We start from the raw sequence: 23,174 nt of genomic DNA, 5'->3' as shown, positions 1-23,174 counted from the left end.
GAGAAGAAATTGTAATTAAACTTTATTTTTTAGAGCAATTTTAGGTTTACAGCAAAATTGAGCTGAAAGCACAGAGAGTTCTCATACACCCACTGTCCCTACACACACACCCTCTCCACTATTGACAGCTGCCACCACAGTGGTACATTTGTTACAACTGATGAACCTACATTGATATATCATTATCATCCAAAGTCCATAGTTTACATTAGGGTTCGTTCTTGGTGTTGTACATTCCATGTGTTTTGATAAATATATAATGATATATATCCACCATTGCAGTATAATACAGAATAGTTTCACCGCCCTCAAAATCTGCTGTGTTCTGCCTATTAATCCCTCTGTCTCTCCTAACTCCTGGCATTCACTGATCTTTTTACTGTCTTCATAGGTTTACCTTTTCCAGAGTGTTGGAATCATGGTATGTGGGCTTTTCAAATTGGCTATTTCTTCTAGTAATATGCATTTAAGTTTCCTCCATGTTTTTTCATGGCTTGATAGTTCATTTCCTTTTAGCACTGAATAATATTCGATCATCTGGATGTACCACAGTTCATTTATCCATTCACCTACTGAAAGACATCTTAGTTGCTTCCAAGTTTTGGCAATTACCAATAAAGTAAATACAACCATCTATATGCACATTTTTGTGTATGTGTAAATTTTCAATTCATTTTGGTAAGTACCAAAGAGCATGACTGATAGATTGCACAATAAGGGTATTTTTAGTTTTGTAAAAAAAACAAAAACAAAAAAACTGCATGTTTTACATAGTTTTTTTACATAGTTTGTTTACATTGTTTTTTACATAGTTTTGTAAAAAAAAAAACAAAACTGCATAGTTTTACAAAACTAAACATTCCAAAGTGGTTGTGCCATTTTTCATTCCCACCATCCATGAATGAGAGTTCCCGTTACTCCATCACATCTTTGCCAGTATTTGACATCATCAGAGTTTTGATTTTGACCATTCTAATACATGTATAGTGGTATCTCTCCTTGTTTTAATTTGCAATTCCCTAATGACATATGGTGTTGAACATCTTTTCATATACTTATCTTCTTTGGTAAGGTGTCTGTTCGGGTCTTTTGCCCATTTTTTTAATTGGGTTGTTCATTTTCTTATTATTGACTTTTAATAGTTCTTGGTATATTTTGGATAACAGTTCTTTATCAGATGTGTCATTTGTAAACATTTTCTCCCTATCGGTGCCTCGTCTTCTCATTCTCTTGACATTGTCTGTCACACAGCAGAAATTTTTAATTTTAACAAAGCCCAGCTTATCAATTACTTATTTCATGGATCATGTCTGTGGTGGTGTATCTGAAAAGTTATCACCAAACGCAAAGTCATCTAGGTTTTCTCCTTTGTTATCATCTAGGAGTGTTATAGTTTTAAAGTTTACATTTAGGTCTATGATCCATTTTGAGTTCATTTTTGTGAACAGTATAAGGTCCGTGGCTAGATTTGTTTCTTTGCATGTGAACATAAAATTGTTCCAGCACCATTTGTTGAAAAGACTTTTTTCTCCATTATATTGCCTTTGCTCCTTTGTCAAAGATTAGTTGCCTATATTTACGTGGGTCTATTTCTGGGCTCTCTATTATGTTCCATTAATCTGTTTGTCTATTCTTTCACCAATGCCACACTGTCTTGACTACTGTAGCTTTAAAGTAAGTCTGGAAGTCAGCCCTTTGACTTTGTTCTTCTTCAATATTGAGTTGGCTATTCTGGGTCTTTTGCCTCCCTATATAAACTTCAGAATCAGTTTGTCAATATCCTCAAAATAACTTGCCAGAATTGTGATTGAGATTGCACTGAATCTGTAGATCAAGTTGAGAAAAACTGACATCTTGACAATTTTGAGTCTTCCTATCCATGAACATGGAATATCTCTTCCTTTATTTAGTTCTTTGATAGCTTTCATTAGAGTTTTGTCACTTTCCATATATATATATATATATATATATATATATATATATATATATATATCATCCATATTTGGTTAGATTTATATGTAAGTATGATTTTGGGGGGTTCTAATGTAAATGGTAATGTGTTTTATATTTCAAATTCCACTTGTTCATTGCTGATAGTTTCTTAGTTTTTATAAGTGTAATGTGGTAATGCAAGATATAAGCAGTGGGGGAAAGTGGAGGAGGTATATACAGACTCTTTGTCCTATCTTTGTAACTTCCTTGAAAGCATAAAATTATTCCAAAATAAAAGGTATATTTTTAAATGTTCATGGCAATACTTAAGATTTTATTTTCTTTCTTTTATATTTCAAGACTCTTCACTGCACAAGTCTAAGCATGTAGTCAAAGTCACATTATACAATTTAAGAACCAGTGAAAATAGAAGGTTAAATGTGTATTATAAAAATGAAAGGAAAATTTCACCATGACTATGTTTTAATAAGGTTAAGGAGAAAATCTTTAGTCAGTGTAATGTGGCTTTGGAGCCAGATTTACCTGTTTTGAAATCCAAACTCTGCCACTTCCTCCATATAAGACCTGTCTGAACCTCCATTTTCTCAACTATAAAATGGGGGCAATAAAGTAGACCCTTGGCATTTATCAGTTTAACATTTGCCATGTTGACTGGAAAAGTCCATGACATGTAGCGTAATTGTGATAGAAAGGAAATTTGAACTTTATACGTTAGCCAGAGTACAGAAGACCAAAGAGCTAAGTGGTTGAAAGAGTAAGCTGAAAATACATTATTTGAATTTGAATCCTACCTCTATTATTATTAACTGTGTGACATGCCTTGGGTAGATCTCTTAAATCCACCAAGCTTCAGTTTTCTTATCTGTAAAATGGGGATGATAACAGCCTCTCTTCACAAGGTTGTTATAGTAACTAGTAAAGAAAGTAATAATAATCACAAAACTACAGCAGTTAAGATTGGTTGAGGCCGGGTGCGGTGGCTCACGCCTGTAATCCTAGCACTTTAGGGGGCCAAGGCAGGTGGATCACCTGAGGTCAGGAGTTCAAGACCAGCCTGGCCAACATTGTGAAACCCCATCTCTACTAAAAAAAAAAAAAAATTAGCCGGACATGGTTACGGGCGCCTATGATACCAGCTACTCAGGAGGCTGAAATAGGAAAATCATTTGAACCTGGGGCGGGGCTGAGTGAGCTGCAGTGTGCTGAGACTGCACCATTGCACTCCAGCCTGGGCAAAAGAGTGAAACTCTCAAAAAAAAAAGAGATTGGTTGAATAGACAGGCATAGTGGCTAACGCCTGTAATCCCAGCACTTTGGGAAGCTGCCGCAAGAGGATCACTTGAGCCCAGGAGTTCAAGACAAGCCTAGGCCACATCGGGAGACCCCATCTCTACAAAAAAATAAAAAATTAGCCGGGTGTGGTGCACCCCTGTAGTCTCAGCTACACAGGAAGCTGAAGTGGGAGGATCCCTTGAGCCTGGGAGGTCGAGGCTGAAGTGAGCCGAGATCACACAACTGGACTCCAGCCTGGGTGACGAGAGAGACCCTGTCTCAAAAAAAAAAAAAAAAATTGGTTGAATATATAGATTGAGCCCTGCTCTAGATCCTTTGCTTTTTTTTTTTTTTTTGTCTGCGACAGTCTCCTTTTGGCCAGGCTGTAGTGCAGTGGCACAATCTCGGCTCACTGCAACCTCCGCCTCCCAGGTTCAAGCGATTCTCCTGCCTCAGCCTCCTGAGTAGCTGGGATTACAGGCACGCGCCACCATGTCCGGCTAATTTTTGTATTTTTAGTAGAGACAGGGTTTTACCATGTTGATCAGGCTGGTCTCGAGCTCCTGATCTCGTGATCCGCCTGCCTTGGTCTCCCAAAGTGCTGGGATTACAGGTGTGAACCACTGCGCCCAGCCCCTTTGCACATATTTTTTATTCAGTTCTCTCAACAACTTTATGCATAAGTACTTCTAATATCCCCATCTTACAAGTGAGGAAATGCATATAAACTGTTTAAAGCACTCAACATACACTACCTGACAAATACTAAGCAATCAATATATGCTGGCTATAATTATCCTAGCAATAGACTGAGTTTCATGAGGGAATGCACAACCCTCACAGTACCTGGCATATAGTAGGTGCTTTTAAATTCATGTTGAATAAATAAACTAGTCACTTAGCTAGTGAGTAAGTCTTGTTAATCATACGGCAACTACACTTTGACGTAGTCTCATTTCTGCCTACTCTTCTCCACTTATGTAGTTCTTCCATGAATTTTCTTTGTGGAAAATGGCTCTGAAAAGAAACTCAATTATTAGTAATGAGATTGAAGAAATTATTAAAGTGATGGATCTTAGCCACAAAATAGGCCTTCTGTCTAAGTTAAAGAGTGGGATGTAAAATTAGTCAATGGCTTATATTTATGATGGAAAAGACACCATCAATAAGGAAACAAGAAAAAGTAATTTGGGAAACTATTTAAATGAGTGCATCCACTAAGGAAAAAAAGCTCATCAATTAAGTTAAAAACCACTGAATATTGAAAAGATGACTAACTTTTGGTGTGAAGATGAGAATAGAAAAAATGATGCTCAGGAAAATGTAATCTGGGAGAAACCTAGGAACATTTGTATAAATATTTTCATGAGGTAAGCGAGTGAGGACATTTGTGGGGCTCTTAACCCACTGTGACCTCAAAAAAAAGATTGGTTCTGTGACCTAAAGTAGCATTTTTCTATTGACATTTTATAAAGATAAAAATCATTGCCACAGAAGTGCTTGCTTGCCTCTTTCTAAGCTGAAGAAATTCATAAAGAAAAGGTTAATAGGTCAGTGCATTCAACAGTATTAAAAAGAGGCTCACATCAACAGAAAATACCTTGGTAAACATATTGAAGGAGGAGAGGCAAATATCAGCGCCTAAGGCAACCAAAGATAAATTGACCACAATTCACTCAACTTTCTTTGCGGTCTGCAAGTGCCTAAATTTTAAGGTGCAAGAATAGGAAGGAATCTAGCAAAATAAAGTTGGAGTCACAGTGTTAAACTTTCTGAAATGATTTCATAATGTCTTTGAAGTAGAGTAATATTTATAAATTTGTCATTTGAAGAGATCTCAATATTCCTTGAGAATGTGAAGACTGAGTTGTAATAATTACTTGATAGCATTGTGAGAATTAGAAATAATGTATACAAAGGTGAATATTTTATAATAATATTGATTTGAAACAAAATAAAAGCCAGAAGTGTAAAGGGAAAGATGGTAATTAAAAAATTTTAACTCATGTATAGCAAAGATTAATATAAATAAAGTCAAAAGACAAAATATCATCTGGAAAAATATTCACAACAAATATGCCAAATGGCTAATTTTTTCAGTTTAAAAGACTGCTTATAAATCAATAAGGAAAAGATGAACAACCCAAGAGAAGCATGCTTAGAAGGTAAGTTAGCACCTCATTAAAAATGAAATATAAACTGCCAATAAATATCTGAAAAGATACTCAAATGTACTCATAATTAAATAACTGCAAATGAAAACAATGAAATGACATTTCACTCTTAGATTAGCAAAATTTATGGGGAAATAAAAACTCTTGTTTGAATTTGGTGGAATATGAGTTATTAAAAACATTTTAAAGGCAATATGTCAATGTATATAAAAAATTTCAAATGTGCCTATTCTTTGACCCAACAATTCTAAGATAATCCTACAGTACAAGTGTACAAAGACATATGTGTATTGATGTTCATTATAGCATTGTTTGTAATAATGCAAAACTAGAAATAATATAAATATTTGTCAGTAGGATCATGTAAATTGTGGTACACTCATACTATATAATACTATGCAGTTATTCAAATAGAATGAGGTAGAAAAATAAAAACTGTTATGGACTAAATGCAACATGATGTCTTAGACTGGATCCTGGAACAAAAAGAACATTAGTGAAACACTAGTGAAATTCAAAGTCAGACTTTAGTTAATATTAATGTACCAATGTTAATTTCTTATTTTTGACAAAAGTACCTTTGAGAGGTGAAGCCAGCTGGACTTCCTGGGTCGAGTGAGGACTTGGAGAACTTTTCTGTCTAGCTAGAGGATTGTAAATGCACCAATCAGTGCTCTGTGTCTAGCTAAAGGATTGTAAATGCACCAATCAGCACTCTGTAAAATGGACCAATCAGCACTCTGTAAAATGAACCAATCAGCAGGACGTGGGCGAGGACAAATAAGGGAATAAAAGCTGGCCACCCCAGCCAGAAGCGGCAAGCCGCGAGTCACCTTCCATACTGTGGAAGCTTTGTTCTTTCGTTCTTCACAATAAATCTGGCTGCTGCTCACTCTTTGGGACTGTGCCACCTTTAAAAGCTGTAACAGTCACCGTGAAGGTCCATGGCTTCATTTGTGAAGTCAGCGAGACCAAGAATTCACCAGAAGGAACCAACTCCGGACACACCTTGATTATGTAAAATGTTAATATGCAACTCTACTGTAAATCCAAAATTATGCAAAAATGAAAAGTTTATTTAAAAAAGGTGAGATAGAAGATCAAGATATAACAAATAAGAAAAAGAAACTTGCAGGATTGTATGTATGGCATTTGTGTACTGAAAGATGGTGTTATAAATATGTACACCAGTATAAGCATAGAAATCTCTAGAAGAATATGCTCCTCCCCCTTCCTCCTCTCCTCAGAAAAGTTTGTAGTAATTATCTCTAAGTCACTGGAATGGAAGTTCTCAATGTCGGTGGAAGTAAAGAGTTAGTTAGAATCTTCTCTTTTTCTTTCTTTTTTTTTTTTCTTTTTTTTGTTTTTTTTTTTTCAGCCAGAGTCTCACTCTGTCACCCAGGCCAGAGTGCAGTGGTGTGATCTCGGCTAACTGCAACCTCCACCTCCCAGGTTTAAGTGATTCTCCTGCCGCAGCCTCCTGAGTAACTGGGATTACAGGCACATGCCACCACGCCTGGCTAAGTTTTGTATTTTTAGTAGAGACGGGGTTTCACCATGTTGGCCAGGCTGGTCTCGAACTCCTGACCTCACGTGATTCAACTGCCTAGGCCTCCCAAAGTGCTGGGATTACAGGCGTGAGTCACCGTGCCCAGCTGGAATCTTCTCTTTTTCGTTTTCACATTAAATCATACTGTGTTCTTTTAATTCTTTTAAAATAATTCGAAGACAACAAATTAAAAGAAATAATGTATGAAAACTGGTTAACATAATGACTGACACATTATAGATGCTCAGTATATAAAAACTTTCATTTTTTTTACTGGCCACTTTGGTTCATAACTTTTTATTGTATCTCTAATGACAAACACAAGTTTTTGTAGAGTACTTACTCTTAACTATGGTCCAGGCTCTGTATGGAGTATTTTACACACTCTATCTTATTACTCCCCATAACAACTTTATGATTTGGGAACAATTATTATCCTAATTTTACAGACAAGGAAACAGGAATAGAGAAGTTAAGTAACTTCCAAAGTCATAAGGCAAATAGATAAATAATGGAACTGGGATTTAAACCTAAGCAGTCTGACTCCAAAGTCTTTCATCATAGGTGAAGCCTCAGTTGCTTCTACAGATACAATCTTTAAACCTTCTGGTTCGTTATGTGGTAACTGCAATCTACCTACAGTGGAAGAAAGTAATGGCTAATCATTTTCACTCTTTAGCAGAGTTGGACGATCTGAAATCTCTAGATCTTTCTTTAAAAATTTTAGCCAATGGGCTCTGTAGCTTGATTCTTTAAATTTTAAATGTTTCTACTCATCTAATTGTTTGGTGATTTTCACTAGACTAAATGATCCCACTTCCTCATCATTTTTTAAGAGATCTAATTGTTTAATTCTTGTAGTTTCTTTTCTGGAAGACTAACAATCTCCTTCCCTAAAAGTGAACATTTTCTTTCTTTCTTTTTTTTTTTGAGACAGAGTTTTGCTCTTGTTGTCCAGGCTGGAGGGCAATGGCGTGATCTCAGCTCACTGCAACCTCCGCCTCCCGGGTTCAGGCGATTCTCCTGCCTCAGCCTCCCTAGTAGCTGGGATTACAGGCATGCGCCACCACACCCAGCTAATTTTGTATTTTTGGTAGAGACGGGGTTTCTCCATGTTGGTCAGACTAGTCTTGAACTCCCAACCTCAGGTGATCCACCCGCCTTGGCCTCCCAAAGTGCTGGGATTACAGGCATGAGCCACTGCGCCCGGCTGAACATTTTCTTTAAGAAGGTAATTAGCAGTTGCTATCCCTTTCTTCTTCCTCTGTCTTCATCTGATAGAGCAGGTAGTGTTTTTGCATAATGCCACCTAAACTTGTCAAAGTCTTTCATGGACCAAAACATGCAAGTAAAGGAGTATCATCTTATCTTTTTACATGAGTCCTCTGGTAGAAAAAATTGAAAATGATACTTAGATGCTAACTGTTGATAAAATTTTCTACAGGTACAGATAATTAGGTCATCTTTTGTTTAAAAATATTTCAGAAATGTTATCTAATTTTCTAATGTGTTGGCAGAGCATAGGCTTTTAAACCTAATTATCATCACCATTGTTGCCCATAATCAACACTTAGATTGGATTCTTGTCGTATACATGGCCCTGTTGCTTATGAGGAATCATAAATTCCTAGCCAGACTCAAAGTCTCAGTTGATTTAACCACAAAAACTTCAAAATTTATTATGTGTGTGAGCACTACAATCATACAAGATTCTTTGGAAGATAAAATATAATAAATAAAATTTAGAAGGTAGACCATAAAAATAGATCAGAAAATGTGATGGAAAGAACAGAAAATGAGCAATAGTCATTTATCATAATACATTAATCTCCATTAAATATCTCTAAGGTGTTTGACATTGTGATAGATGCTTAAGAGAGCATAAAGTCAGTTTGGTGACTTATTGCCTGCATAATTGAATAAAGGAGATTAAAAATGATGGAGCATGTCAGAATTTATGTCGGAAAATGTACTCTGAAATTCAATTCAACAGATATTTATTAAGAGTCTTCTGACAAGGCGTGTTGCCAGGAACTATGTCAAACAGACGACTAAGAATGTTCTCTACTCTCAGGAAGCTCACAATTTAGTTAGAACAGCGCTAGCCAACATGAAAATTGGGGAAGGCACTCCAGAACTCACAGCTGTTTGAGCACAGCTTGGGCTAGACTTGAACCTTCACTCACCCTTAGCCAGGCATCTGCGTGCATTGCACAGCTTGAACAATCACACACAGAAGCCCTAGCTATGACTAAAACAAACAAGCATGATGGAAAGATAGAATAATAGATGTGCACATATAAACCTGAGTGTAGAGAAATGGATTATATGTGAACATGACAATTGAACCTCAAGATGATTGGTCAAATGTTTGAGAGAGAGAAAAAAAGGTCCCCTTTACCTATGATTGGCCCAGTATGGGTCGTATGCTTCATGTAATGGCCAAGACTAAACTGAGTGCTGATCGTCCCAATAGACACACAAGTGTGAAGACATTCCTGGCAGGCAAAAGCAACGCGGGAATCCTGGAGAAGAGAATTACAAATGTCATGCTGAGAACTTACACATTTTTTGGTTATTAGTAGAGAAATCTATTAGAAATAAATTTTGTCTTTATAAAATGTTTTATAGTAGTTTGGGAAAATTCAGTATTATTTAAGTCTACATGTAATAAGTGGAATTTGAATCTTAAAACTGTTTTCAACACACAAACTCATTTTCCAGAAAGTAACTACAATAAGCATTTTGAAGTGTAAGCTTCTGGACTACCACAGAAAGTTGTTTAGCTGTTAATTTTGGGGGCAGTGTTCTCCAATTATTTTTGACCAGATGTTTATTTCATAAATCACTAATATATATTGATTAATTTATTTATAAACTCAATACATGTCTTACTATTGTTGGCTAATGTCCTGAGACTTAACAACTTAGAGCAAAGTTCATCATTAAAGACACGGGTGGCCAGGTGCAACGGCTCACACCTGTAATCCCAGCACTTTGGGAGGCTGAGGTGGGAGGCTTGCTCTAGCTCAGGTGTTGGAGATCAGCCTGGGCAACATAGGAAGACTTCTGTCTCTACGAAAACATAAAATAAAAATAAATAGCTGGGCATGGTGGCATGTGCCTATAGTCCGAACTACTTGAGAGGCTGAGGTTGGAGGGTGGCTTGCACTCGGGGCGTCAAGGCTACAGTGAGCACCACTACACTCCAGCCTGAGTGACAGAGCAAGAACCTGTCTAAATAAATATAGTGATTGCAAATCCATATTTCAATATCTTCTTGATCGTTTCACAACGCTTTGTTTTACTGACACACTTGTCAGACTTGACAACACTGTCACAGCTTTAGCTTCCTAAGATGGCAGCTGAGGTATTGTACCAAGAGGAAGAGGAATGTTCGCTCTGCCATTTTCTCGTCTCCTTGTGTTTACAAGCAGCATCATGTTGTGGTTAAGGCCACTGACCCCAGAGAGAAATTGCCTGGGTTGCATTGCAGCCCTGCCATTGACTAGCAACATCGTTAAGCTGTCTACGCCCCAGTTTCCTCATGTTTAAAATGGGAATTAAAACAGTACTTTCCTCACAGGGTTTTTGCATGGATTAACTAAGTTAATAGAGATGAAACACTTAGGCCAGTGTCTGGCTTGTACTAAATGCCACATAAATATAATTGATCCTTGAACAAGGTAGAGTTTAGCTCCCCCTTCCCCTCCCCAGTCAAAAATTTGGGTATAACTTTTGAGTCCCCCAAAACTTGACTGCTAATAGCCTACTGTTGACTGAAGCCTTCCAGATAAATAAGCAGTTGATTAACACATATTATATATGTTAAATGTATTATATACTGCATGCATACTATATTACTTTATTACTAGAGCTATAGAAAAGAAAGTGTTATTCAGAAAATGATAACAAAGAGAAAATATATTCACAGTTCACTAAGTGGAAATGGATCATTATTAAGGTGTTCATCCTCTTCGTCTTCACCTTGAGTAGGCCAAGGAAGAGAAGAGGTTGGGTTGATCTTGCTGTTTCCAGAGTGGCAAAAGCGGAAGAAAATCCACCTGTACATGGTTCCATGTGGTTCAAATCCATACTGATCAAGTGTTGACTACATTTGATATTATTGGCATTATATTTAATATATTTAATATATATTTAATGCTGCAGTGGTTTTTTTTTTGTAAAAATCTTTTAAAGTTACTTTTCTATTTTTTGAGGGCAAATTAGTTAAAACCAGATTATGTAATCTATAACTCTGCCTCACTGAACCCTCAGTGACCCCACCTCTTTGCTGTGAGAGCTCCTCTCCACCACTTCGTCCCAGGTGACCTGGGTACAGTGTACACCAAGAGATCATGAGACATGCATGCCAAGTGGGGGAGCTGATGTCAATCCACACATAAAAGGTTAGTACATTTTTCTTTTTCTTTTATTGGTAACAAGTAAATATATATGTGTATGTATATATACATATGGACATACATATGTATACATGTATATTTGTGTGTGTATATATACAGACATGCCTTTTTTAATGATGGCTATACGTTTTGAGAAATGATTAGGTAATTTTGTCATTATGTGAACATCATGGAGTGTACTTACACAAGCTTAGATGATACACCTAGTAAACCTACCATACACCTAGGCTATTTGGTATAGCCCTGATATGATTTGGCTCTGTGTCCCCACCCAAATCTCATCTTGAATTGTACTCTCATAATTCCCGCGTGTTGTGGGAGGGACCTTGTGGGAGAAAATTTGAATCATGGGGGCAGTTTTGCCCATACTGTTCTCATGGTAGTGAATAAGTCTCATGAGATCTGATGGTTTTATCAGGGGTTTCTGCTTTTGCATCTTCCTCATTTTCTCTTGCTGCCACCATGTACGAAGTGCCTTTTGCCTCCCGCCATGATTCTGAGGCCTCCCCAGCCATATGGAACTGTAAGTCCAATTAAACCTCTTTTTCTTCCAAGTCTCGGGTATGTTTTTATCAGCAATGTGAAAACTAATACAGTAAATTGGTACCGGGAAGAGGGCGTTGCTGAAAAGATACCTGAAAATGTGGAAGCGACTTTAAAACTGGATTACGGGCAGAGGGTGGAAGAGTTTGGAGGGCTCAGAAGAAGACAGAAAAATATGGGAAAGTCTGGAACTTCCTAGAGACTTGTTGAATGGCTTTGATAAAAATATTGATAATGATATGGACAATGAAATCTAGGCTGAGGTGATCTGAGATAGAGAAGAAGAACTTGTTGGGAATGGGAGCAAAGGTGGCTCTTGTTATGTTTTAGCAAAGAGGTTGGTGGCATTTTGCCCCTGTCCTAGAGATTTGTGGAACCTTGAATTTGAGAGAGATGATTTAGGGTATCTGGTGGGAGAAATTTCTAAGCAGCAAAGCATTCAAGAGGTGACATGGGTACTGTTAAAGGCTTCAGTTTTAAAAGGGAAGCAGAGCATAAAAGTTGGGAAAATTTGCAGGCTGACAATGCGAAAGAAAAGAACGTCTTATTTTCTGAGGAGAAATTCAAGCTGCTGCAGATATTTGCATAAGTAATGAGGAGCTGAATGTTATTCCCGAAGACAATGGGGAAAATATCTCCAGGGCATGTTAGAGACCTTTGTGACAGCCTCTCCCATCACAGACCCAGAGGTCTAGGAGGAAAAATGGTTTCATGGGCAGGGCCCAGGGTCCCCGTGCTGTGTGCAGCATAGGGACTTGGTGCCCTGCGTCCCAGCCACTCCAGCTGTGGCTAAAAGGGGCCAACATAGAGCTTGGGCCATGGGTTCAGAGGGTTCAAACCCCAAGCCTTGGGGTCTTCCATGTGGCGTTGAGCCTGTGGGTGCACGTAAATCAAGAATTGGAGTTTGGGAACCTCTGCATAGATTTCAGAAGATGTATGGAAACACCTGGATGTCCAGGCAGAAGTTTGCTGCAGGGGTGGGAATCTCATAGATTCTCATAGAGAATCTCTGCTAGGGCAGTGCAGAAGGGAGATGCAGGGTTGGAGCCCCCACACAGAGTCCCTACTGGGGCACTGCCCAGTGGAGCTGTGAGATGAGGGCCACCATCCTCCAGACCCCAGAATTGTAGATCTACCTACAGCTTGCACTATGAGCCTGGAAAAGCCACAGATGTTCAATGCCAGCCTGTGAAAGCAGCTGGGAGAGAGACTGTAGTCTGCAAAACCACAGGGGTGGAGCTGCCCAAGACCATGGGAACCCACTTCTTGCATCAGTGTCACCTGGATGTGAGATGTGGAGTCAAAGGAGATCACACTGGAGCTTTAAAATTTGACTGCCCTGCTGGATTTCAGACTTGCATGGGCCCTGTAACCTCTTTGTTTTGGCCAATTTCTTCCATTTGGAATGGCTGTATTTACCCAATACCTGTACCCCCAGTGTATTTAGGAAGTAACTAGCTTGCTTCTGATTTTACAGGCTCATAGGTGGAAGGGACTTGCCTTGTCTCAGATGAGACTTTGGACTGTGAACTTTTGGATTAATACTGAAATGAGTTAAGACTTTGAAGGACTGTTAGGAAGACATGATTGGTTTTGAAATGTGAGGACATGAGATTTGGAGGGGCCAGGGGTGGGATGATATGGTTTGGCTCTGTGTCCCCACCCAAATCTCATCTTGAATTGTATTCCCATAATTCCTATGTGTTGTGAGAGGGACCCAGTAGGAGATAATTTGAATCATTGGGGTGGTTTTCCCTATACTGTTCTTGTGGTAGTAAATAAGTTTCACGAGATCTGATGGTTTTATCAGGGGTTTCCACTCTTGCATCTTCCTCATTTTCTCTTGCTGCTGCCATGTAAGCAGTGCCTTTCACCTCCCGCCATGATTCTGAGGCTTCCCCAGCCATGTGGAACTATAAGTCCAATTAAACCTCTTTTATTTCCCCCAGTCTCAGGTATGTTTTTATCAGCAGTGTGAAAACGGACTAATACAAGCCCATTGCTCCTAGGCTACAAACCTGTACAGCATATTACTGTACTGGATATTGTAGGTAGCTGTAACACATGGTAAACATTTGTGTATCTAAACATGTCTAAACATAGAAAGATATGTTAGAAATATGGTATTGTAATTTTATGGGACCACCATCATATATGTAGTTAATTGTTGACTGAAATGGTGTTATGTGGTACATGACTGTACATGTATATGTATGCATGTGTGTATATATTATACATGTATGTGTATGCATGTAAGTGTATATATGTGCATGTATGTTTTTATATGTATATGTGTGTGCATATACATGCATGTATATATGTATGTGCAGCTATGTGTATGCATATGTGTATTTATGTATGTGTATACATACATACATGCATGCATGTATACCTATGTATGTGTTCGTATATATATTTGTGTGTATATATGCAAATATGTGTATATATATCTGTGCAGAAATATATATTAGCAGATGTATATAGTCTAATATTTTCTTCTTGAACCTCAGTAGACTTTCTAGGGTATTCCCTGTGATGTGTACACACCACTTTGGAAGCCCACATGCTAGAGGATCCACTGCTGAGAACGGATCTGCAGCCTGTCACGGACAGCTGATAGCTATAGAAGCAGGACTTGAGCAAGACTGAGCCTTGGATACGAGAAAAATGTAGGGGCAGGAAAGGGCAGGTAGAGCAAAGGAAACCTGGCAAAAGCCCAGGAATCAGATTAGTTATAGACATAATCTTGCTCTGAAGGCTCTTCCTATGCAAGTCAGTGAGGCCTTGGATTTTCAGATACAACATATTCCGACAGTTCAGATATATTCATTGGGCAAGTATGAATTTAACATCTACTGTGGCTCAGCACTGTGATAAGGGTGCTGAAGGTATGTAGTCACTTAATCCATGATTTTATAGTCTGTGATAGAGATGACCCACACCAACATACAGCTTCAAAAGGAATAATTTGTTCATATCTGTTAATATATAAATATACATATAATTTATGAATAAATAGTATAGCCCAAAATCCTATAACACACAGAAATTTTCAGAGGAAAGATTTCCTGGAAGTAGGAGGTGGTGCCTGGGATAAGTATTGAAAGAACAAACTTTCCTTTATTAAATTGTGTGTGTGTTTGTGTGTGTGTGTGTGTGTGTGTGTAGAGACGGAGTCTTGCTCTGTCACCAAGGCTGGAGTCCAGTGGCGCGATCTCAGCTCACGGCAACCTCCACTTCCCAGGTTTAAGCAATTCTCCTGCCTCAGCCTCCCGAGTAGCTGGGACTACAGGTGCATGCTGCCACGCCTGGCTAATTTATTTTGTATTTTAGTGCAGACGGGGTTTCACCGTGTTACCCAGGTTGGTCTCGAATTCCTGAGCTCAGGTCATCCGCCTGCTTTGGCCTCCCAAAGTGCTAGGATTACAGGTGTGAGCCACCGTTCCTGGCCTATTAAATGTTAAATAAACAAAGATCTTCTTTAAACTGTTTATTAAAGATACTATTATTAATGACCCAGGATTTGTATACAGCCTCTATAGACACTAGAATATAAATTCTATGAGGTTTTTTTGTCTGTTTTTCTTCACCACTGTGCCTCATGCCCGCAATAATGCTGGACACATAGTAACTTCTCATTCGTTAACATTATTAGTGAATGATTAAAGAACTGTGTATGTGAAATGTTGGGGAGGAGGCTTCATACTTCCTCTTTGAATCATAGAATGAGTATTACAGGGACCCAAGACTTAATCTAGTCCAAATTCCATAGTGAAAAACTGAAGCACAGAGAGGCCAAGTAATCACCTGCTATGGTTTGAATGTTTGTCCCCTTCTCAACTCATGTTGAAATTAATTGCCATTGTAACAATACTAACAGGTGGGAACTTTAAGAGACTATTAGGCCACGAAGGCTCTGTCTTCATGAATGAATGAATGCTGTTATTGCAGGAGTGGGTTTCTTATAAAAGGATGAGTTTGATCCCATTTTGTCTCTCTCTCCCCCTTTCTTTGACCTTCTGCCATAGGATGGTGCAGGAAGAAGGCCCTCACAAAGCACCACCTCCTTGATCTTGGACTTCCCAGGCTTTACAACCATGAGCCAATGCATTTCTATTCCTTATAAGTTACCTAGTCTCAAATGTACTGTTATTGTAGCAAAAATGGTCTAAGACATCAACTCAAGGCAATCCAAGAGGCCAGGTATAGAACTGGAGTTAGAATTTATATTTCTTAACTCCTAGCCCTTGATTTTTCTTCATAATCCAATAGCACCTCCCCAAAAGTACCAGATGGCCACAACTCATCTTTTGTTATTTAGACCTTCTTGAGAGCCAGAAATTAATCTGATTCCAGAAGGTTGAAGAAAATTAAGACAACTAAAGATTTTTATGTCCAGCTGCTGTGTTCTGTGTTTGGCTTCACCTAAAACCAATAGTTTCCATTGTGATGAGTCCCTCTTCTCTCAAGAATGAAGACAAACAAAAAAGTAGCATTATATCTGTAGGTAAAATTTAAATTACATAATACAAACACATTCTCTATTTCAATTTGTTTTCCAAGCAAATAAACCAGGCTAATAATTAACCAATCTGTGTAAAAAAATTAAACAGAAATATGACCTGAACATTTCACAGTTCTTCGTTGTTCTTAAGGACATAATTTGAATACCCATATATTCACAAATATTATATGAACATGTATTCAAATTTTATATAAATATATGTGAAATGAATGTGTGATCTATAAACTTATGTTTCATATAAAATATATAATGTGTGTGTGTGTCTGTGTATCTCCAATAACTTAGAATTTTTGGTTTAGGTTTTAGGCATGAATTTGACCTGCCATGACACACCTTAGTCCTACATAAATGTCATTATCTCAAAGAATATTTCTCTGTCACCCTTTCTAAAATAGGGCAATAAATAGGGAATTCCATGATTCTTACTTAGTTGTTTTTCCTATTTTTTGAAAAACTTAAATTCATATCTAATTGTTTGACTTTTTAGGACTTAGTTGTTTGGCAATTCTAGCTCCTAAATATATATCAAAACTTCCCAGGTTTTTCCATCTCCACTGTTACAAGCTAGGCCAACCCACTATCATCTCTCATTAAGATGAATGAAATAGCCAAATGGGGAGATGGGTGCCTATAGTCCCAGCTACTTGGGAGGCTGAAGTGGGAGGATTGCTTGAGCCTGGGAGCTCAAGGCTGCGGTGAGCTATGACTGTGTCTATGAATAGTCACTGCACTTCAGCTTGGACAATGTAGTGAGACCCTGTCTCTGAATAAAAATTTTTGTAAAAGGCTAATGAAATAACTTCTTACCTCTACTCTCTTTAATATCTTTCCCACACAGCAGTTAGAATAATCTTTTAAAAAACATTTCATGTAACTTTTTTGCTTAAACATCTCTGAATACTTCCTCATAGCTCATAAGGTAAAGACCAAAGTCTTTAACATGGCCGAGAAAACTCCTCATGATATGGCTCCTGCCTGCTCACTAGCTTTCTCTTGGGCATTGTCCTTTTTGTTTTAAGACAGGTCTTGCTCTGTCACCCAAGCTGGAGTGCAATGGACTCATCAAGGCTCACTGCAGCCTTGACCTTCCAGGCTTAAGTGATCCTCCTGCCTCAGCCTCCTGAGTAGCTGGGACCACAGGTGTGTACCACCACACCTGAATACTTAATTTTTTTTTTTTAAGAAATGAGGTCTCCCTGTATTGCCCAGGCTTGTCTCAAACTCCTGGGTTCAAGTGATTCTCCCACCTTGACCTCCTGAAGTGTTGGGATTACAGGTGTGAGCCAGTAGGCTTTTCCCTTCCCCAGGGCTTTTGCACATGTTTTTTCAGCTTCCTGGAATGCTCTCTACTATGGCACTTTCTCCCATTCCACACACCTTCTTTGCCTAGTTATTTTCCTTTTAAAAATAATTTTTTTGAGACAGGTTCTCATTCTGTTATCTATGCTGGAGTGCAGTGGTGCAATTATAGCTCACTGCAGCCTTTAACTTCTGGGATCAAGTGATCCTCCCCACTCAGCCTCTCGAGTAGCTAGGACTACAGGTGCATGTCATCATATCTTGCTTTTTTTTTTTTTTAAAGATAGGATCTTGTTATGTTGCCCAGGCTGGTATTGAATTCCTGGCCTCGAGTTATCCTCCCAAAGTGCTGCGATTACAGTTGTGAGCCACCGCACCTGACCTGCCCAGTTATTTTCTACTTACCCTCAGAGTTCTGCTCAATCACGCTTTTTCAAAGAAGTCTTTCTCTCGGGATGTAGTCAGGCCTTGTCATATTCTCTCTTAACAATCTATTTTCCTCCTTTTTAGCACTTAACAAAACTGTAATTCAGTACTTATGTTATTGGTTGTTCAATATTTGTCTACCCCAGTAGAATGTAAGTTCTTTAAGAAATGCCGTATTTATCACTATCACAGCATTGGCGGGAATAAATATCTGTTTGAATGAATAAATAATACAAGAATAATTTTGTAAATGAAAGATTGTGTCTCACAATGAGGAAAATTTAATTATAAAATGAATAATTGAACATATAGTTGAACATAGTATAAATACATATTGAGAAACAGGACTAGACATTGCTCTAAAATACACACACACACACACATACACACACACACACACACACACACACACACACACTTCGTACTTCTCAGAAAAGAGGTCAAGGGAAAAAATATGCAGCTCTAACTAGACATGTCTTGCTAGAACAGAAAGGAAGCAGAGAATGCCCTAGATCAGGTAACTTGGTTGGTTGAAGGACCTGGTCCCCAGCTGAAGAAGACACAGCCTCACCCTAGCAGGGTCCACTGAGGCTCACCTCCTCTGGGGAGTCCTCCATGCTGCCTGTCAGGGAGAGAGGAAGGAGAAAGACTGTGGACTTGACTGAGACAAGAGAGGCAGAGAAGCAGACACTCCAGGCTTCTAGGGGCAGGAGCAGGGAGAAAGCCTGAGGCAAGGTACATGGGTAGGGAAGGGGTGCCTTAAGCAGCTGAGCTTCAACCAAAGGCTGACGACTCTTCCCTCTAGCAGCATTGTACTGTGGAAGAGGTGTCTCTGGGTTTCAGAACAAAGCCACATATGGGTTTCTGGTAGTCACAGTGCCCAGAGATAGAGCAAGGGGAGGGCATAAATACCCCTCCCTGAGCTCCTACTAGTTATGAGAAGTTAAATGGACTAGAGAGGGAGAACGTTTTGGCTCAAGCTCCTCTTGTGTTCTTGGCTTCTTAAGTGTCATACCCAGGATAGTGGCTTATGAAGCTTTATTCTATTTCTCTTGAAAATATTTCAATAAAGTTAATTATTGTTAATTTATAGCTATGTTGAAAATGATTGCTGTATGTTTACTGATTGGCCATAGGATATTTGGGATTACATCACGCATCAGCACATGGGTAACTATTTATTAGAAATTCACATTAAAGGAAAATACCAGCTGTTTATCTTTTTTTGGTGTTAGAAGTTTGTTTTTTTTTTTTTTTCAAACCTGTAATACAAGTGGGGTCATCTGGTTGGGTATTTGCAAGTTAGCTTTTGGCTAAAGTGAATACTCATTCTGACTGTGCTAACATCTGCACAATTATGCAAAATAAAAGATTGATAAATTAAAAGTTAATTAAAAGATGTCCATGTCAGCACATTTATAACAGAGCATCCCATCTTCCCATCAGGACCACATCACACATTTCTTTCTTTTTTTTTTTTTTGAAACAGAGTCTCTCTCTGTCACCCAGGCTGGAGTGCAGTGGCGCAATCTGCAATCTCCGCCTCCCGGGTTCAAGCAATTCTCCTGTCTCAGCCTCCCACGTAGCTGGGTCTACAGGCGCACCCCCACCATGCCCGGCTAATTTTTGTATTTTTTAGTAGAGACGGGGTTTCACCATATTGGCCAGGCTGGTCTCGAACTCCTGACCTCAAGTGATCCACCCGCCTCAGCCTCCTGAAGTGCTGGGATTACAGGTGTGAGCCACCACACCCAGCCCATCTCACACATTTCTGTGAGCGGCAACTGCAATACCTTCTGGGGCTGTGGAGCTACTGGGAGCTGAAGAGCCCTCTGGCGTGGCTCAGTGCAGGAAGCTGAAGGCAGAAGCAAAGAGAACTAGTTTTTGAGGAAATCATGAGGTGCTCTTTGGGGACTTGCAAAATAATTGTGAAGAGTCTTGGTAGGGCTGGATTTTGGAGAGAAGAGAAGCAGGAAGATGGGGAGGGTTAGATTAAAAACTGCATTGTTCTGGATCATGTAGGTTTTTGTGTGTTGTGTTTGGTTTTCTTTTTATTTTTCTTGTTTTAAACTGATGTGACCTCAATAAGAAAAACTAGCTAAATTCATATTCCCCAGTAAGTCTGGGTAGACACAGAGGGGCTCTATGCATGTTTATTGACTTGAAATAAATAAAACAGCAGAAATGGTTTCTGTCTAGAGTGCTTAATAGTATATTCAAAACAGTAGCCCTGTTGATTGAACTACATGTTTCATATTGTACCTGATTCACATTTAATCCTCGTAATTAACCACAGGTGAATGTTTTTAAGTTCACTTTTTTACAGAGAATGATACTGAGGCTTAGAAAGATTAAGTTACTTGTCTAAGTCATAGCCAGTAAGCGGCAGAGCCAAGAGTCAAATCAACATTTGCCCAACTCCATTGTTTGCAAATTAATGTGTTCCACTTTCCCATGCTGCTCTGCCTTTCTGTGTTACTGGAGAATCAGAACTAAGGCAGTTTCCCAAGTGATAATAATCAGATTTCCTGTTGAATTATGATGTATGTTTATGTTCTCCACTAATATGTAAACTTCCAAGGAGGACAGACCTATCTAATTCCTCTTTTTGTCCCAACTGCTTAGCCCTTAGTTCAGAGTGCTCTATGCATAATAACTTAATCCTTACAATAACACTATCAGATAGACACTATTGTTATCTTCACTCTACAGATGAAGAAATAGAGCCACAAAGAGATTAAGTAATTTGCTTGAGATGCCATAGAGGCTTTTAGTGCTCACCCTCCCCTGGGTCTCCTCTATTTCCAGGCATGTGGGAGGATCACTTTCCTACCCTCTTGCAGTTAGGTGGCCTTGTGACTAGTAATGGTCAATAAGCTATGAGTAGAATTGATATGTGTCACTTCTGTGCTATGGGCCACTTTTCTGCCTTAGCATTTAACTGCTGATATGAGACCCTCCAGTGCTCAAAAGAGTTGAAGTACATATGTAGTTGCAAGACATTAGAGTCTCCATAATCCTGGATTCCTGAGTGATTCTGTGGAGCAGAGCTCCCTCTCCTCCACATGAACATGTAGCACGAGTAGGAAATAAACCTTGATGTTTTAAGCCACTGAGATTTGGGTTTTGATATGTTATCATAGCAAACCTAACTCATCCTGACTAATACACAGGATCAGAACTCTAGTAAGTGATGCAGTAGATATTTAAACCCAGACAATCCGGCTCTCCAGCCTGTGCCTTAAATCACTGTCCTTTAAGTGATTAGTGAATGTGAATTGAATAAATGAATGAATCAATGTTGAGGCCTTTGTTATCCACTCATACCTAGCAATCAAGATCCAGTTTTCGTGAGGGTTGAATACTTTCCTTTTTATTTTATTTTTTTTTTAAAAGAATACCATCTCCTTTTTATCTTGCATTGGACAATCTTGATGTTTATAGTGAGATGAATATATCTAATTACCACAATATTCAACTTGAGCAAGTCTTTTGAAGGTATTTTGCTAAATTAGAACTTTCAGATCTCATTAAAATTGAAACATTTGGTCGGCTTGATTTAGTCAATTTTGACTCTGTGTATTTAAGATGACAGTACTAGCAATCAAATGAAACTTTAATTACAATTGGAATTTTCAATAACTAATAAAAGGCACCGTCAATTTGACAGTAAAAGACAGTTCTCCACAGAAGATACCCACAGGTGCTTTTGAATTTATTTTTTTAAATTGTAAATAATAAAAAAGAACATTTTGCAACATGCACAAAATCAAAATGTAGGGAAAAATTGATTTGCATTTCAACCATGTATTAGAATTATTTTCATTTTTACATTATCTTTATAGTTTTTAAGTCATGGTAATCACAGAATGTCTTCTTTAACTTTTTACTTAATATTATATCGCATATATTTTTCAAAATTTCCTAAAGCAAAGTTTATAGTGATGTAGTCAAAGCATCATAATTTATCAGCCTCCTATTATTGTGCATCTGTGTAAGACACCCCATCTTTTTTATTTGTTAAAAACAAACTGATTTAATAGGCTCACCGTATAGCTTGTTAAAGAGAACTTGTGACTTTACTGTGTGACATAAAGGAAGAGTCTTGTTTATTTATGTGTTTATTATTATCTTGCAGTTTATAGGACAGGTAAAGACACCTAACCAGATCCTGCTGTCATCTACATTGACAAGCCATGGAAGGAAATAGAGTGCCAGCAGCAGACCCAGTTTGCCTGACATCTGACTGTACAGTGTACTCATGTCTTAAGGGTGACTGCATGGATTATGTCTAAGCGTGCATTAGTTTGCTCAGCTGCCATAACAAAATACCACATACTGGGTGGCTTAAACAACAGAAATTTATTTTCTCACAGTTCTGGAGGCTAGAAGTATAGGCTCAAGGTGCCAGCATGGTCAAGTTCTAGTGAGGGCTGTCTTCCTGGCTTGCCGATGGCTGCCTTCTGGCTGTGTGTTCACAAGAGGGGGCCATTTCTGGGGCGGGATACAAGAGGAAGAGAGACAGTTCTCTCTTCCTTATCTTATAAGGCCATCGTCCTTTCAACTTAGGGCCCCATGCTTGTGACCTCATTTAACTTTATTTCCCTCCTAAAGGCCTTATCCCAGAAACAGTCACATCGTGAGTTAGGGCTTTTACATACTCATTTTGATGGGCTACAATTCAGTCTATAACAAAGTGTCACTAAGGTACCACAGTCTAATGGCCAAAGAGAATGGGACATGATTAAACTTTAACAGGCTTCTAAACTTCAATAGTTTGTTTTCCTGAAGGACCTCCCACATTTTCCCCTTTCTGATGACAGTTACATCTGGTTATGAAGTTTCCCTCTGGGCCTTAGTACCAAGGAGCTCTGATCCCCAGCCCCATCCCAGTAACTAACGTGGTCCTTATTAGTGGAATTGTTGCCGTCTACCCTGTTTTCATTTGTCCCTTTTTGTTAGCCCAACCCCCCGACCCCCAGGTAAAGTAGAACTAAACAAGTAGACAA

The 23,174-nt window shown here is 38.6% G+C and overlaps 1 long non-coding RNA gene across 1 annotated transcript in view; it reads left to right on the top strand.

Annotated features, from left to right (window-relative positions):
* Positions 1 to 23,174, top strand: part of LOC107984311 (uncharacterized) — a 27,287-nt gene extending 4,113 nt beyond the window's left edge. The window contains exons 3-4 of the long non-coding RNA XR_001748134.3: positions 11,227 to 11,357; positions 22,304 to 23,174. This is a non-coding gene — a long non-coding RNA (uncharacterized LOC107984311). The remainder of the gene's footprint in view (positions 1 to 11,226; positions 11,358 to 22,303) is intronic.

Source organism: Homo sapiens, chromosome 11 (assembly GCF_000001405.40).
Source record: "Homo sapiens chromosome 11, GRCh38.p14 Primary Assembly".
NCBI lineage: Eukaryota > Metazoa > Chordata > Mammalia > Primates > Hominidae > Homo > Homo sapiens.
This window is presented reverse-complemented; position numbering and strand designations above follow the sequence as displayed.